The following is a 13522-nucleotide window of genomic DNA, read 5'->3' on the forward strand; positions in this document are numbered from 1 at the left end:
TTATAGTGAAGTAGAAGACAAGAAATGTCGTGTATAGCCACACTATAGTCTGGGGTTATTTAGTGCAGGGACAAACATCCCTAAATACAGCTTTTTGGGCATTAGTAGTATCACTGCATTAGAGCACAGCAAAATTCTTGCCCATTAATCTATATTCATAATAACCTAGAATAACCAAAAGTTGTATTATGATAGTAAACTGTTAAATAGAGAAACATACAAGAGGTTGTAAGAAGATCTCCATCAAACCAGTATCGACACAGTATTTCATTAATATAAATCTTCCTGACATACTTTCATCATGTCACTCCCGTTCCCAAACCCTGAAAGAGTCCCCAGTGTCAGGAGTAATTTGAACAATTTTCTGCAGTGTGCACGCATTGCACAATCTGGTCCCATTCTAACGATTCTCCCCACTCTCATCCACGGGATCAAAGGCTCTCATTCACAAGCCTTGTGCTCGGGCTTGCCTACTCACTTTCTCTCAAAGAAACTTTATGTACTTTTGCTCAATCAGCCACCCACACCTTGATTTCCCTATTCCTTCCTACTCCTCCCTCAGCTGACTCCCCATACTTCCAGGCACAGACTGCCCTCTTCAACCCAAAGCCATCCTATATACACATAAACGCACACATGTACATATACCTCATTAAGTTATTGTCTATAAAACACACCAAGCACTTGGCCATATAGCCTAAAATTATGTAAATAAATATATGTATTATCTCCAGAATGCATCTGAATTTCCAAAGATTAGGGAACTTTGCTATATTTCTTTGTATAATACATTGCTTTTATATAATACTTTACAGCTCACAATGCAACTTCACATATATGATTTTCAATAAATACCTTAGTGACTTAAACTTCTCAAAGAGTTCATCCTAGAAAGATCTGGGATAAAGATATTCTTCCTCCCTACAACCCTCAAATAATATTAGTTAATGACAGAATTAACAATTACTTCATACTGAAGATATTCCCATGTGAATATAAAGAAATGACCAAAGTCTGTCTCCGAATGTGCAGATTTTAAATTTGGAGCCATACGGTATTCAAAGAATAGAAGCTAAAAAATGGCTATTCAAAAAAAAAAAAAAGAAGGATACCTCAGTAAAAAAAACTTATCAAAACAACATTTAAAATAAAAAATATTTTCAATTTAACATGGCAATCTACAATTAAAAATGACAGGTTGAACTTTTATTTAAAAAAGTCTATTTTCTTTGTTAAGTAGACAGATGTTTTCATTAAACCTACAAACTGAAGGCTCTTAAGATTTTTCTGAAACTTTTACAATAAATAAAATTAAGGTAGCCTAAACTATTTCAGAATGTGAAGTCACAGTAAACACAACTCCCTGGTGTTGATCTTCATTGCCATATACTGTTAAAAAGTACATGACCAAAAAAGTACTCTGACCAAAACTAAACCAAACACTTTCCAAAAAACCAGAAATCTAGTACAAATGAATTAATTCAGACTGGGTGGTTTAAATATAGTATTTCAGTTATAGTTTGGACTGTGTTTGATCACTGTGTTATAGAAAAAGGCCTTTATCCACATTTAAAAATAGGTACAGTATATTATATATATATATATATGGAGAGAGAGAGAGAGAGAGAGAGAGAGAGAGAGTGAGTCTCGCTCTGTTGCCCAGGCTGAAGTGCAATGGTAAGATCTTGGCTCACTGTAACCTCCGCCTCCCGGGTTCAAGCCATTCTCCTGCCTGAGCTTCCTGAGTAGCTGGGATTATAAGCATGTGCTACTAGGCCCCGCTAATTTTTGTATTTTTAGTAGAGATGGGGTCTTGCCATGTTGGCCAGGCTGGTCTCGAACTCCTGACCTCAAGTGATCCATCCACCTCAGCCTCCCAAAGTGCTGCGATTACAGGCGTGAGCCACTGCACCTGGCCACATTACATATATTAATGAAAATTAAAAACATGGGTTTTCCTAGGTAAAATAGTAATGTTGATAAATTCTATCTTATGCTGCATCTCAGGTTTGAATTATGATGTCATTAATTACCTATATAGTATCTTTAATATAAAACTAAAACTTCAAATCTTACAATATCATCAAGGACTTACCCATCCAATTCAATTAACTGACCTAAGTATTTTTCATAATTGTATTTTTATGTTAATAGCCAATCACTTCCCCCTTTCCAACAATTCACACTTATTCTATACAGTAAGGTTTCAAAATGACAAGTTTTTTTCCACCCAAGTATTCTACAGACCTCAAAAAGGGAAAGACTGCAGGGAAAACGAGAAATGAAAGAAATCTCTTGCTACCCTCAAATCTACCAACCTATACTTAAGAGCCAATTCTAAGCTCAGAAAGGAGAAAAAAAAAAGTGGGAATATAAAAACCTCTTAAAATGTAGAAGAAATTAGACTAGTTTAGTTTTCTTTAATATCTTCTTTAATAAGACATTACAGCACACAACTGAGCCCCCAGTGTGTCAGTTAAACATGGGGATGAATATCCATGTGAAGAGAATGGAAACAAGTTTAATCTTAACCCCATTCCTTTTGGCAAGTAATAGAAATACAGCATACAAATGGACCAATTCTCTCTCAGTGTTATTTTATCAAGTCTTTGAAGACACCATAACAGTTTTATAATGAACTTTGCTGCAATCTGTTAAAGAATCTTCAAATTAAATTACAGGGATGTTTGGTTTTTAACTCAAACACAGTAAAATGGGGATTGTACTAATAATCCCCTCATGAAGTATAAGGATGATTATGCTCATGTAAGATCAATGCAGCTATTTCCCTATCACTGAGATATAGTGTTAAATATGGTGTCTTCAGCTGCTTATAAAAAAGGGTTAAATACAAGAACAAAAAAACTTTCATCCTGAATTAGTCACTAAAACAAACGAAAAAAAAAAAACCAAAACTTGTGAATGGTTTTATATGATTTGTCACTAAACATATACATATGCTCAAAGCACTTTTAAAAACTTTTAAGTTGTGATTTAACCAGAACTTCTGCAATATCCACAAGAAATTAGGTAAAATTCTAACGTTCTGGTAATCGACATGTTAGGAAACAACAGATATTACATCTGAAACTTAGGAAATAAAATACACAAAATAAAAGGACTATTTTAAAGTAAGGGCATAAGAATAGGAATTGCTAAGAAACTATCAGCCCTGAAGCTTTTCCTTGGAAACGTCTTAAACTTACAGGGAAGACAAGGTGGGCAAAATATGCAGAGCTACAAAACAAAGCAATGATAAGCTACAGCAGAAGAGGGAATGCATTCTGTAATCCACAGGATCAGATAAATGGCTCTAAGCAGTTACCAGTAAGTATTTTAGTGTTCTTTCTATTATATTAATTTAAAAATTTAAACCGAGTTAACAGCAGTTTTACAAGTTAAGAGTTGACACAAGCAAATTAGAAGAACTCTAAAATTAGCCTTCCTTAATTGGGTAAGATTTACCATATCCATCTGAACAAACCCATTTTCCCATCCTGAGATCTAAAAGAATGTGAATATTGACCCATTTTAATACTTTTCAAGTTCAGATGGAAGTCATACTGTACACCAGTCTCTGATTTTAGGTAACAGCACAAAGCAAACTCCTAAAATCAACAACTCACTTAGAAAAGAAAGGAGGGAGAGGGTTCTGGGAATTAATCCAGCCACAAGTCATTCCAATCTTCCTGTTAATGCAAAATCCATTTGTAAAAATGGCCAAATAGTAACTTCCAAAAACCTCAAAAATTAATGTTTCAATTTCAAATTAAAGAACTTCAAGAATTTTCAAAGAATATAGTATCAAGATCGACCTTTACCAGTTCACATTTGTTCCATATTTTGCATTAAACAATAGGCTTAATGATTATTTCATTACGGCATATACATTAGAACCTAACCTTTCACAAGGGCTCACTGACAATCCAACCGCTTTTAGGAAGCTATCAGTTATCTACAGGGTACACCTGACTGGCAGTTAGAGCCAGGTCATACTGCAATTTTAAATATTCCAACTCAAACACAGGAAATGATCAGAGGGGTACAATGACACATAACCGCAATATACTAAGGCAGCAGATAAGTCATTTTTCACCTAGATCATCAGCTGCCCATAAAATCGTATGCACAATTTTAATGAATCAGTCTGCTCTAGTTTAACTGAGGAACCTGCCACTGAGCAGAGAAAGGGATATAAGAATTGCACTTGCAATTCTAGCTGATGAATTCATTAGATTTTTATAAGGCAAATAATGTGGAAAGTTAGAACAGAATTTCTAAAACCATTTATCCTGTGATGTCGTAAATCAAAGTACTATTTTATTAAATGAGTTATTTTACACAATATGAACATCAATATAATTACAATTGTAAAAAAATTTTTTATAACAAGGATGGACTGATTTTCATATTTCCAAATCAGAGTCAACTGTACATTTACACAGAATTGTCTTTGCATGAAGCCCAAGAGGGAACAGCATAAAAATGAGTGTTTCTGTAGCCCCTTTATTTTTGCTGATCAACAGTTTGTTAGAAAAGCAGCTGCAGGTATGTTACCTAAGGTCTGAGACAGTAGAAGAGTCAAAGGTGTCATGAATTCACCTATAAAACATAAGCAAAATTTTCAATGAATGTTACCATTGCACAAATGCAACTTACATGCATTTCAAATAACTAAGAAGAAACACTATGAAGATAATATCTGGTAAACTTGTCAACTCGACTTTATATACAGAACTCTGAAGAATTTATTTTAAAAAGAAAGAATTCTGAAACACACAACACACCCACCACCAACTCCACTATTTAGGGGGAAAAAATCCAACCAAATGTAATGTGTAAAGTGATAACTTTCAACCAACAAATTTATAAACAAATTTATATAGCACATATCTACATCTACATTTTGCCCTATATTTTAATACTCAGAAGCTTTGCTAAGGGGATAGGTTGGGGGAGAAAAAAAAGAACCTCTGCTAAGTACTATAAGTAAACTAATTGTAAAGAGGTGCTCAGGAACATTGGTGTACATTGTTTTTAGAGGGAAACTCTCAAATAACTTTGTAATCACTATTTTCTTTAAACTGATAAGTTCCTTCCATTCTTTGATCAGAGATGGCTAGCATGTACTCATCTCCCCATTTTTGGCTACAGTAGTAAAAATTTGGATGTTTCAAAGGCATTGAAAGGAAATAGTCTGAGAAAAAGGGACTTTTCAGTTACACATTAACTTAAAAAGGGGAAGCAATAAAATCTCAGAAGGCAGAAATTAATTTCACAATAAGTGAAGACAGTTTTGGTCTTGTATACAACCCTGTTATTAACAAACCAATAGAAAAAGAGGTGAGTTACCTGTAAACAACCTTATGCCTGAACATCAGCTAATTCTGGAGGAAGTGGAGTCTTAGGATGCTTGCTCTCAAAGTGCTGCTTGAAGGTCTTAGGGTCTGGCATTTGTGTCTAACAAAAAATTGTGCAAAAGAGAGCTAGACTTTATTTATAAAATAAAAATGTGTTACTTTTTAGAATCCTGAACCTTCTCAGTATAGACAATTATCCCAAAAACACCTTTAAATTCCTACAACTTAGTGACTGGCATATGAAGAGGGACTTTGTGGTAAAGAAATTCCTAACGTTCCCACATTTCACCTATAAAGAAAGGTAGGTCACATAGAATGTATTCTGCTTATCTGATTAACAGCAAACAATAGGTAACATTTACTGAACCCTTATTATATTAAGCATGTTACCTTAATTCCCACAGAACCTTCAAAGTAATCTTTAGCTCCTACTAGCATCATTTTACCTGATAAGGAAACTAAAACCCAGAGTTTAATTTGCCCAAGACCTTATTTTAACTTAGTACTAGATATGTGACCTCTCAAATACTATACTATACTGACTTCCCTTGGCAAGAACCTTCAATTATTTATTCTTAACCCATTAAATTACACAAAATATGAAATAAAAGTCTGTGGTTTTGAGTTTTTAAATATATGTAACTACTCTACCACATTTAGATTAAGGTATTTCTTCATTACTAGTTGATTAAAATTTGCACCCTGCCTCTTTCCAAACAATCACAAGCTGCTCAATTTCATTATTTTGAGTGTATATGTAGTGTACTAACTCCACTATGGTTTCCTTTGGTACTGCCACTCACTAACTTCAAGGGTAATGAGCTTAAACAAACAGGCAAGAGGCTCTGATTTGGAATTTCAGAAGTACTTCTTTGAGAGGCAGTACAGTAGTGGTCCAGAGGGTGGACTCTGGAGCTGAACTGCCTGAGTTCAGATTCCAGCTCTTCTACTAACCAGCTGGGAGACCCCACACAAATTGTTTAATTTCCATTAGTCAGTTTACTCTTCTGTAAAATGAGAACAATAAAAGTACTTTATCTTATAGGGTTGTTATGTGGATTAAATAGGTGAATACATGTAAAACACCTGGCTCTATGTGTGGCATATGGTAAGCACTCAAAAGTAGCTGTTATTATTACAGTTCTTCAAATCTAATACAACACATTAATTCTAGGAAAAGCTCTCAACGTGATTATACTCTATATGGTTTTACAGACATCCTAATTATAAATTTAGTGAAGAAAAAACCAATTATATAACTAGAGGTATACTTACTAGCATATTATATAGCTCTAAGAGTGTAGAGTTATATGATGTGCTAGTGAAGTGTATTATATGCCCTTATGAAGACATCTTTATTTTATATGAGGAAAGCAATTTTGTTTTGTTCACTCTGTTTTCCCAGCACCTAGAGATTTTTGCCTGGCCACAGGAGCCATTCAAAAAATATTTGTTTAAAGGGTGAATGAAAATAGATACCTAAAATAATCAGCTCTCAAACCTACTATTTCATGTAAAGCATCTATTTTGCCATGGTTTCAAAATTTTAATCTATTCAAGCCAAAACTGCCCACGGGAGAGCTGTATCTTTCAATTCAATTCCCCTTACCCTACAGACAGTGCAGGTATATATTAAGGCAGCTTTGGCAGCAGCCTTTTGGTCATGTCCTTGTTTCTTCTTTTGTCCAGCTTGCTTTTTGGCATTTTTCTGCTGAGACTGAATTTTCTGCTGTCCACGAGCCATATCTAAAAACAGAAGGTGAAGCATTAGAGTGGCTTATTTACTCTAATACAGAGTAATCAAAGCATAAGAACGTTCTTAGAATTGAAGCCTTAAGTTTTATAGAAATATCTGGCAAATAAAAATTTATAGGTATTAAAATTCCCACATATAAATGCTACAAAAGTATCAATTGACACAACCCTGTGGAAAACTAGTTGGTAGCTGTTTATTCTATGAGCCAGCAATTCCACTCTTGGTATATACCCAATAGAAATGCAAATGTTATGTACACCAAGACATGTACAAAATGTTCTGAGTGCCCATTCCAAAACTGGAAAAAATCTGAATGCCCATCAATAGTAACACGGATGCACAACTTGTATACATATTTTTATAGTATTTATACAACGGAATACTACCCAGCATTTAAAAAATTGTGGCCAGGCGCGGTGGCTCACGCCTGTAATCCCAGCACTTTGGAAAGCCAAGGCGGGTGGATCATGAGGTCAGGAGTTCAAGACCAGCCTGGCCAAGATGGTGAAACCCTGTCTCTACTAAAAATACAAAAAAAAAAAAAAAAAAAAAAAATTAGGCAGGCATGGTGGTAGGCACCTGTAATTCCAGCTACTTGGGAGGCTGAGGTGGAGAATTGCTTGAATCCGGGAGGCAGAGGTTGCAGTGACGCGTGATGGCACCACTGCACTGCAGCCTGGGCGACAGTGAGACTCTGGTCTCAAAAATAAATAAACAAACACACAAACAAAAAATTGTTACAAGTAACAACTTGGTTGTATCTCAATGTTAAAGGAAAGAAGCCAGTTGTGGGGAATATACATTATTTAAAGTTCAAAACAGGCAAAGCTAATCTATAGTGAAAGGGGTCACCTTGGGGGTTATGGGTAATGACTGGGAAGACAGGACATGAAGGGGACTTATGGGGTCCTGAAAATGTTCTTGAATCAAGTGTGTTTACTTATAAAAATTCATTGAATTGTACACTCAAGATTTATGCACTTTACTGTATGTAATCTTCACAAGTTTACTAAAAAAGTTTAGCCCCCGCTATCATTTACTTGATCACTCTGCAAAAGTAATTTCCCTTCCCAGTATTCATTGTGACTTGCGATTGTGATTTTTATAACTTTAAGAGAAATAAAAGCTGTCTGTTACTCCTTCTAAAGGAGACCTCAGAAATAGGTGGAAACTGTTTTCTTACTTAGTTTTCATAAAACTACTGTTATTAATTTTTTTAAAAAGTTGGTCTTGCTGGATTGCTGAACAAATTATAAAATGAGATTATCAGCAAGCCACTAATTCCAGAAGTTTCTTTGCTCTCTAGACGTTAGTTCCCATTTGAGGGAATGAACTTGGTTAAGAGGGTTCTTTTACAAAGCTGAAAGATACCACTTTTTGTTACCGATGATCTGACGTGAACCCAAATGGATTAAAACAAAAAAAAAAATCAAGTCACTGAAAAAAGTTACTTTTACTTTTCCATTTAAATTAAAGGCTTTTATTCGACCACACAAGTTAAACCTGCTCATAAAGTCTATCATGAGTCTCAATTGCTTTTTAAATATATCAAAATTGGATCCTAAGTAGAATTCATATATATATAGTTTTGACTAGTACTGTAACTGAATGTAAATCATTGCAGGACAGGAACATACAATGGATTTGTATCAACTTCACCAGGGAAGGGTGCTAGCTTCTTCTGACTAGGACCATAATTAGTTAATGGATATGAGGTCAAAGCATTTCATAAAAATTACTGAGCTCCTCCTGTTCCCCAAAAAAGGAAACTAAAAAAATACACTGATTGGAGAAGTTCCCACTAGCATTAAAAAAATGAACTGAAAGTCAGATAAAATATAAAAGAGGGTCAATGCTTTTCAGGATAGTCAGCTGACTATTTCAACTGAGGAAATATGGGGTTTTTATATTAGGGTAGCACACGAGCCTAATACATTTTCGTAATTGAAAATGTTTAGCGTGCTAGCCTAATATGAGAACCCCATTCCCACCAAACAATGGTAAATATTACCAGCTGTTATCAGTCCTTGAAGACTAAGCTTCCATTTTTGCTTTAAAAAAAATTATTAATTCTAAGCCAAATGGCACATTTTTTTTAAAAGTGTATTTAAGTCCGATGTTACCGCAAGCTTACAAACCTATTCCCATGGAAACAGGTTTGGATACTTATGTATTATTTGGACGACAGTAGTCACGTGATCAGCCTTTATGTATACCAATGTTTTGCAAGGTTTTTTGTCTCAATGTCTTACTATCAGGACCTTGTAACAAAATAGCCAGTCTTCTCACACATCTTAACTCTTCGACACAATGTATTTTATGTATCTTAATACACTGATTTTGTGGGAAATCTTGTTTTATGTTAAAAAAAATCTTCAAAAATGGTAAGCCACTAATTTCAGAAGTTCCTTTGCTTTCTAGAAGTTACTAGCTATTTTGATATTTCCATGTTGTGACTCGTACAAAGCAATGTCATTAGACACACAAAATTATTTTTAACTTTTGCACTTAGGACTTTCCCTAAAATATAACATTACACAATAGATTCAACCCATTTTCCATTGTCACCAAACAGCAACCAAAAAGACCGAAGAGACTTAATAAAGACAGTAGTCACTTGTTCTTATTCTGAAGACAGAAAACTTAACACCAGGTAAAGGAAATGGAATAAAATAAGCTAAATGCATGAGGTAGGCCCCTAACTTCTGACAACACGCCCCATCGATTTCCTTTCTGAAAGCAGAAATTCAAACGAACCAACCACCTGCTTTTGGACAGCTCAACTTAGGACTTGCTCTCAAGCCAACACAATTTTCTACAAAATCGTAGGCAGCTACAACCGCTCCTTGATTAAATGCGACAAACTGGAGGGAAAAAGTCACTTACAAATACCTACATGCTGGTTTTTAATGCAACTCTCAGTGTGGTTTTCCGAGGGGGCTGCAAAGAGGGAAGTAGTGGAAGAAACGAGTTCTAAAATGAGGCGCTCTCGTAGGAGGCAACAAGTAAGCTCTGCCCCAAAGCTCCTTTTAAAACCAACATAAATGAGTAACAGAAGAAAAGGATTTTGGGTCCAGGAAGTAGGCTCATTCTCCATAACCATCGGAAAGGAAGAGGCCCAGGCAGCGCTCCACATCCTGACCCTAGCTTTTAACACCATCGTTTTGGGGAGAGGAGAGGAGGAACGCACCCACAGTGAGGTCTCCACCCAACACTTCTCCGACCCCAGCTTCAGCCTGGCGCACCTTCCTTCCCAAACCCGCCTCTCCCGCCTCGGAGACCCCCTCCTCCTCCCTGCCACCAAAGGCCACGCAGCCCCCATCTAGCCAGTCCTCACGGACCCTGGACCAAGACGCGCCTCCTGGAGGCCGAGACTGCCCGAAACCCGGCCCCTGCGTCCACCGGGAGCGCCACACTCTGGCAGCTGACCGGCGGCTGTCGCCGGGGGTAAGGTTACCGCTCCGCTTCCGCGGCTGGCCTGCGACCCGGCCACCTGCAGGGCCTGGCAGGCGCCCGAACTCATCCCCTTCCCGCGGCCCGCCCCGGGCCGGGCCCTGCCGCCCCCCGCGACCCCTCGCGACCCGCGGCGAGTCCCACGGTCCCCACCGCCCCCCGCTGGCCGGCCCCCGCCCCGTTTCCCGGGCGTCCCGCGGCGTCAGCACCGCCCCCGCTGCCGCTCACCCGGGCCGGGACAGTCTTGCGTCGGAGAGACAGTGCAGCGCGAGAGGGCCGGGAGAGGACGCCGGAGGGAAAGGAAGGGGGAGCGCGCCCAGCACCGCTTGGGCCTCCTCCACCCGCTCAGGAGGGGAAACACGAGAGCCGGGAGCACAACAGCCTCGCACGCCCGCCGCCGCCGCGCGCCCGCCGCCGCCTCAGCCTTAGGGGAGACCACTACGCCTCGTGCCCGCGCACGCCGCGCCGCTCTCCTCGGCGCCCCCGCCCCGCCTGCTCCTCGCAGCCCCGCCCATGTGCCTTTCTGCGGCTGCCTCCTTCTGGCCCCCACCCCGCTCGCACGCCTGCGCCCTGGCTGGTCGCGCGGGCCAATGGCAGCGCGCCCCTATTACATAAGCGCGAGGGGGCGGGCCCTGGCTGACACAAACTTCAGGGGACGTCGCCTTCTGTCCCCAGGCGCCCCTCCTCTCCGGCGCGCTCGGTCCGGGCGGCTTCTTCACCCAGCCCTGGGAGCCACGTGATCCCGGTCCTGGTTGGTGACCGGGCCGCGGCGTGTTTCACAAGTCGCTCGCTCGCTCATCCACTCGGGCGGCGGCCGGGCCTCAGGCGCTGCGACCCTTTTCCCGCTCCTCCCAGGCTGACGCGCCCGTCTCGGCGCCGCCCTCCTCGGCACCGACTGAGGCGCTGGCCCGGGAGCGGATCGCGGGGCCGCGGTGGCTGAGTCACATTCCCGGAGCCCCGCCACCCAGGACACCGCGGCCCCGGCCCCCAGCGAGCCCGGCGGACCCAGCGGCTCTGAACGCGGACGCACAGCCTTTGTTCTTTCACAGCCGCCCTTTACCTCACTCCCATGGAAACCCCAGGTGTTTTCCCAAGCTGGGGGCTTTTAGTGAGTTCAAGATTCAAGCCTAAGTCGTATTAAAAATTGCTGGCTAGGCCGGGCGCGGTGGCTCACGCCTGTAATCTCAGCGCTTTGGGAGCCCAAGGCAGGAGGATCACTTGAGCCCAGGAGTTCCAGACCAGCCTGAGTACATAGCGAGACCCACGTCTCCACAAAAATAAAATAAAATAAAATAAATAGTGGAGCATGGTGGCCCGCGCCTGTAGTCCCAGCTACTCGGGAGGCTGAGGTGGGAGAATCGCTTGAGGCCGGGAGGTGAAGGTTGCGGTAAGCCGAGATCGCGCCATTGCACTCCATCCTGGGCGACTGAGTGAGACCCTGCCTAAAAAAAAAAAAAAACAAAAAAAGAAAAAAAAATTGCTGGCCAGGCTTCCCGGAGGGGTTTAGTTTGACTGCTAACAATATACGGTACTGAGTTGCTAATCCTTCGGGGAATGGTTAAAGTTCTTTGCGCGCGCTCTCTCTCCATTTACAGGCAGTGGCAGCAAACTTTCAATATCTGACAAGAGCAATGGCGATTATAACCATGATTAAAATTGCTGAATATCTGGAAACAGTACTTTAGACATCAGCTTTATTGTGCATACTTACCCCCGACCCCCGCCACATTCGTTTCTAATTAGAACTACTAGTGACAAAGGAGAAAAAAAAAAAGTGTTTGCATTGGCTGTTCTCACCTTGCCTGTAGTGCCGTTTCCCAAGTTTGCGTGGCAGTGCCCAGGAAATGTTGGCTGAATATTAGTATATCCCAAATGACTTGGACTGGGCTATAGATACCACAGAATTGTTTAAACTAGCCAGGAAGGAGTTAGCTGCCTATTGCATTTGAGTGGAGAAAAATACGAAATGAAACATGGCATGCAGTGATCCGGGTGTTCAGTTCTCCCTCTTCATCCTCATTTCAGCTTCTCTCACCTTCACTTTTTATGCTCTGACTTCCTTCTTGCAGTTTTAAATTACTCTCTAGTCCTAGATTGTAAGATTATTTTCATCAGGGAATACGCAGTATGTTAAACATAGTAGACGTTGAATAAATGGATATTGATCAAATGAACCGAGTATGTCTGAAGAAAGCAGCTTTTAAATTGACATAGCATGAAGCTCTAGCTTAGTCACTAATAGTCACTGTAACCTTAATGGTTGTGTTAATCTGGCTGATAGAGGGATGGGTACTTGTTGGCCCTAGAAATGGGAACTTCAAAGATCTGTGTTTATCTAGCCGTGAATGACAGTAGACAGTGGAAAGGGACAGTGAAATTTGTGTGGCAGAGATATGTCTTCTTAACTAAAGAGGTGACTCCTATTGTGAAGTAGGTTAATATGTCACTCTTTACCATGGCCTAGATGAAATATGTATTCAAGCTAGTGTTTCTTAAGTTTTTGAGTCATAACTCCTTTGAGAATTTGGTGAAAGCTATTGACTTTGCCCCCAGAAAGTTCATGTACTTATCATGTAACTTATCCTCATAGGTAGTGTTTCTTAATCTCAGCACCGTTGAAATTTGGGCTGGATGATTCTTTATTATGGGGCTCTGTGAGACCTGGGGATTGTAGGATGTTTAGCAACATCCCTGTCTCCTACCTGCTTATCCAAGTAGCACCTCATCTCCAGTTGTGACAACTAAAAATGTCTCCAGACATTGTGAAATGTTCTCAGGGGGTCAAAGTCTCCCCTGATTCAGAACCACTGCCTAGAGGATATGGCATAATGGTAACTTTATGTGATGGTTAGGGAATTTGAAAAAAAAAAAAAAAAAAAGAAACAAGGAATGGATAAGATTCAACATCTGTGAAGTGACACTCAGTAAATGAAAGGCGGATGAATTAGCATTA

The 13522-nt window shown here is 40.1% G+C and overlaps 1 protein-coding gene across 6 annotated transcripts, besides 2 other annotated features; it reads right to left on the bottom strand.

Moving 5' to 3' along the window:
- Window positions 1-2414: 2414 nt before the first annotated feature.
- ZNF706 (zinc finger protein 706) lies at window positions 2415-11585 on the bottom strand. 6 transcript variants are annotated; one of them, NM_001267708.2, is made up of 6 exons: window positions 10798-11036; window positions 10013-10056; window positions 7696-7810; window positions 6970-7106; window positions 5353-5460; window positions 2415-4602 (listed from the first exon to the last, which is right to left on the bottom strand). In NM_001267708.2, the coding sequence occupies exons 4-5, from the start codon at window positions 7102-7104 to the stop codon at window positions 5365-5367; spliced, it is 231 nt and encodes a 76-aa protein (NP_001254637.1). In that variant the 5' UTR covers window positions 7105-7106; window positions 7696-7810; window positions 10013-10056; window positions 10798-11036; the 3' UTR covers window positions 2415-4602; window positions 5353-5364. The 6 variants fall into 6 exon arrangements, with proteins under 6 accessions (NP_001254637.1, XP_047277799.1, NP_001035975.1 ...); XM_047421843.1 differs by lacking the exon at window positions 10798-11036 and adding an exon at window positions 10458-10611; NM_001042510.2 differs by lacking the exon at window positions 10013-10056.
- Window positions 10571-11170: a silencer, noted in NCBI's record as "silent region_19431". NCBI's record gives its function as "represses an Ori minimal core promoter by ATAC-STARR-seq in GM12878 lymphoblastoid cells {active_cell/tissue: GM12878}" and the evidence as "EXISTENCE:reporter gene assay evidence [ECO:0000049][PMID:35858748]".
- Window positions 11381-11600: a silencer, noted in NCBI's record as "silent region_19432". NCBI's record gives its function as "represses an Ori minimal core promoter by ATAC-STARR-seq in GM12878 lymphoblastoid cells {active_cell/tissue: GM12878}" and the evidence as "EXISTENCE:reporter gene assay evidence [ECO:0000049][PMID:35858748]".

This window comes from Homo sapiens, chromosome 8 (genome assembly GCF_000001405.40).
Source record: "Homo sapiens chromosome 8, GRCh38.p14 Primary Assembly".
Classification (NCBI taxonomy): Eukaryota; Metazoa; Chordata; class Mammalia; order Primates; family Hominidae; genus Homo; species Homo sapiens.

What these genes read in the sequence shown, in the direction of transcription:
- ZNF706 (NM_001267709.2), bottom strand. Translation starts at nt 7,104, where the DNA reads ATGGCTCGTGGACAGCAGAAAATTCAGTCTCAGCAGAAAAATGCCAAA. An exon ending in ATACCTGCACTGTCTGTAGG is followed by an intron (nt 5,461 to 6,969) that starts GTAAGGGGAATT and finishes ATTTTTTGTTAG; the next exon opens with ACACAAATGCCAGACCCTAA.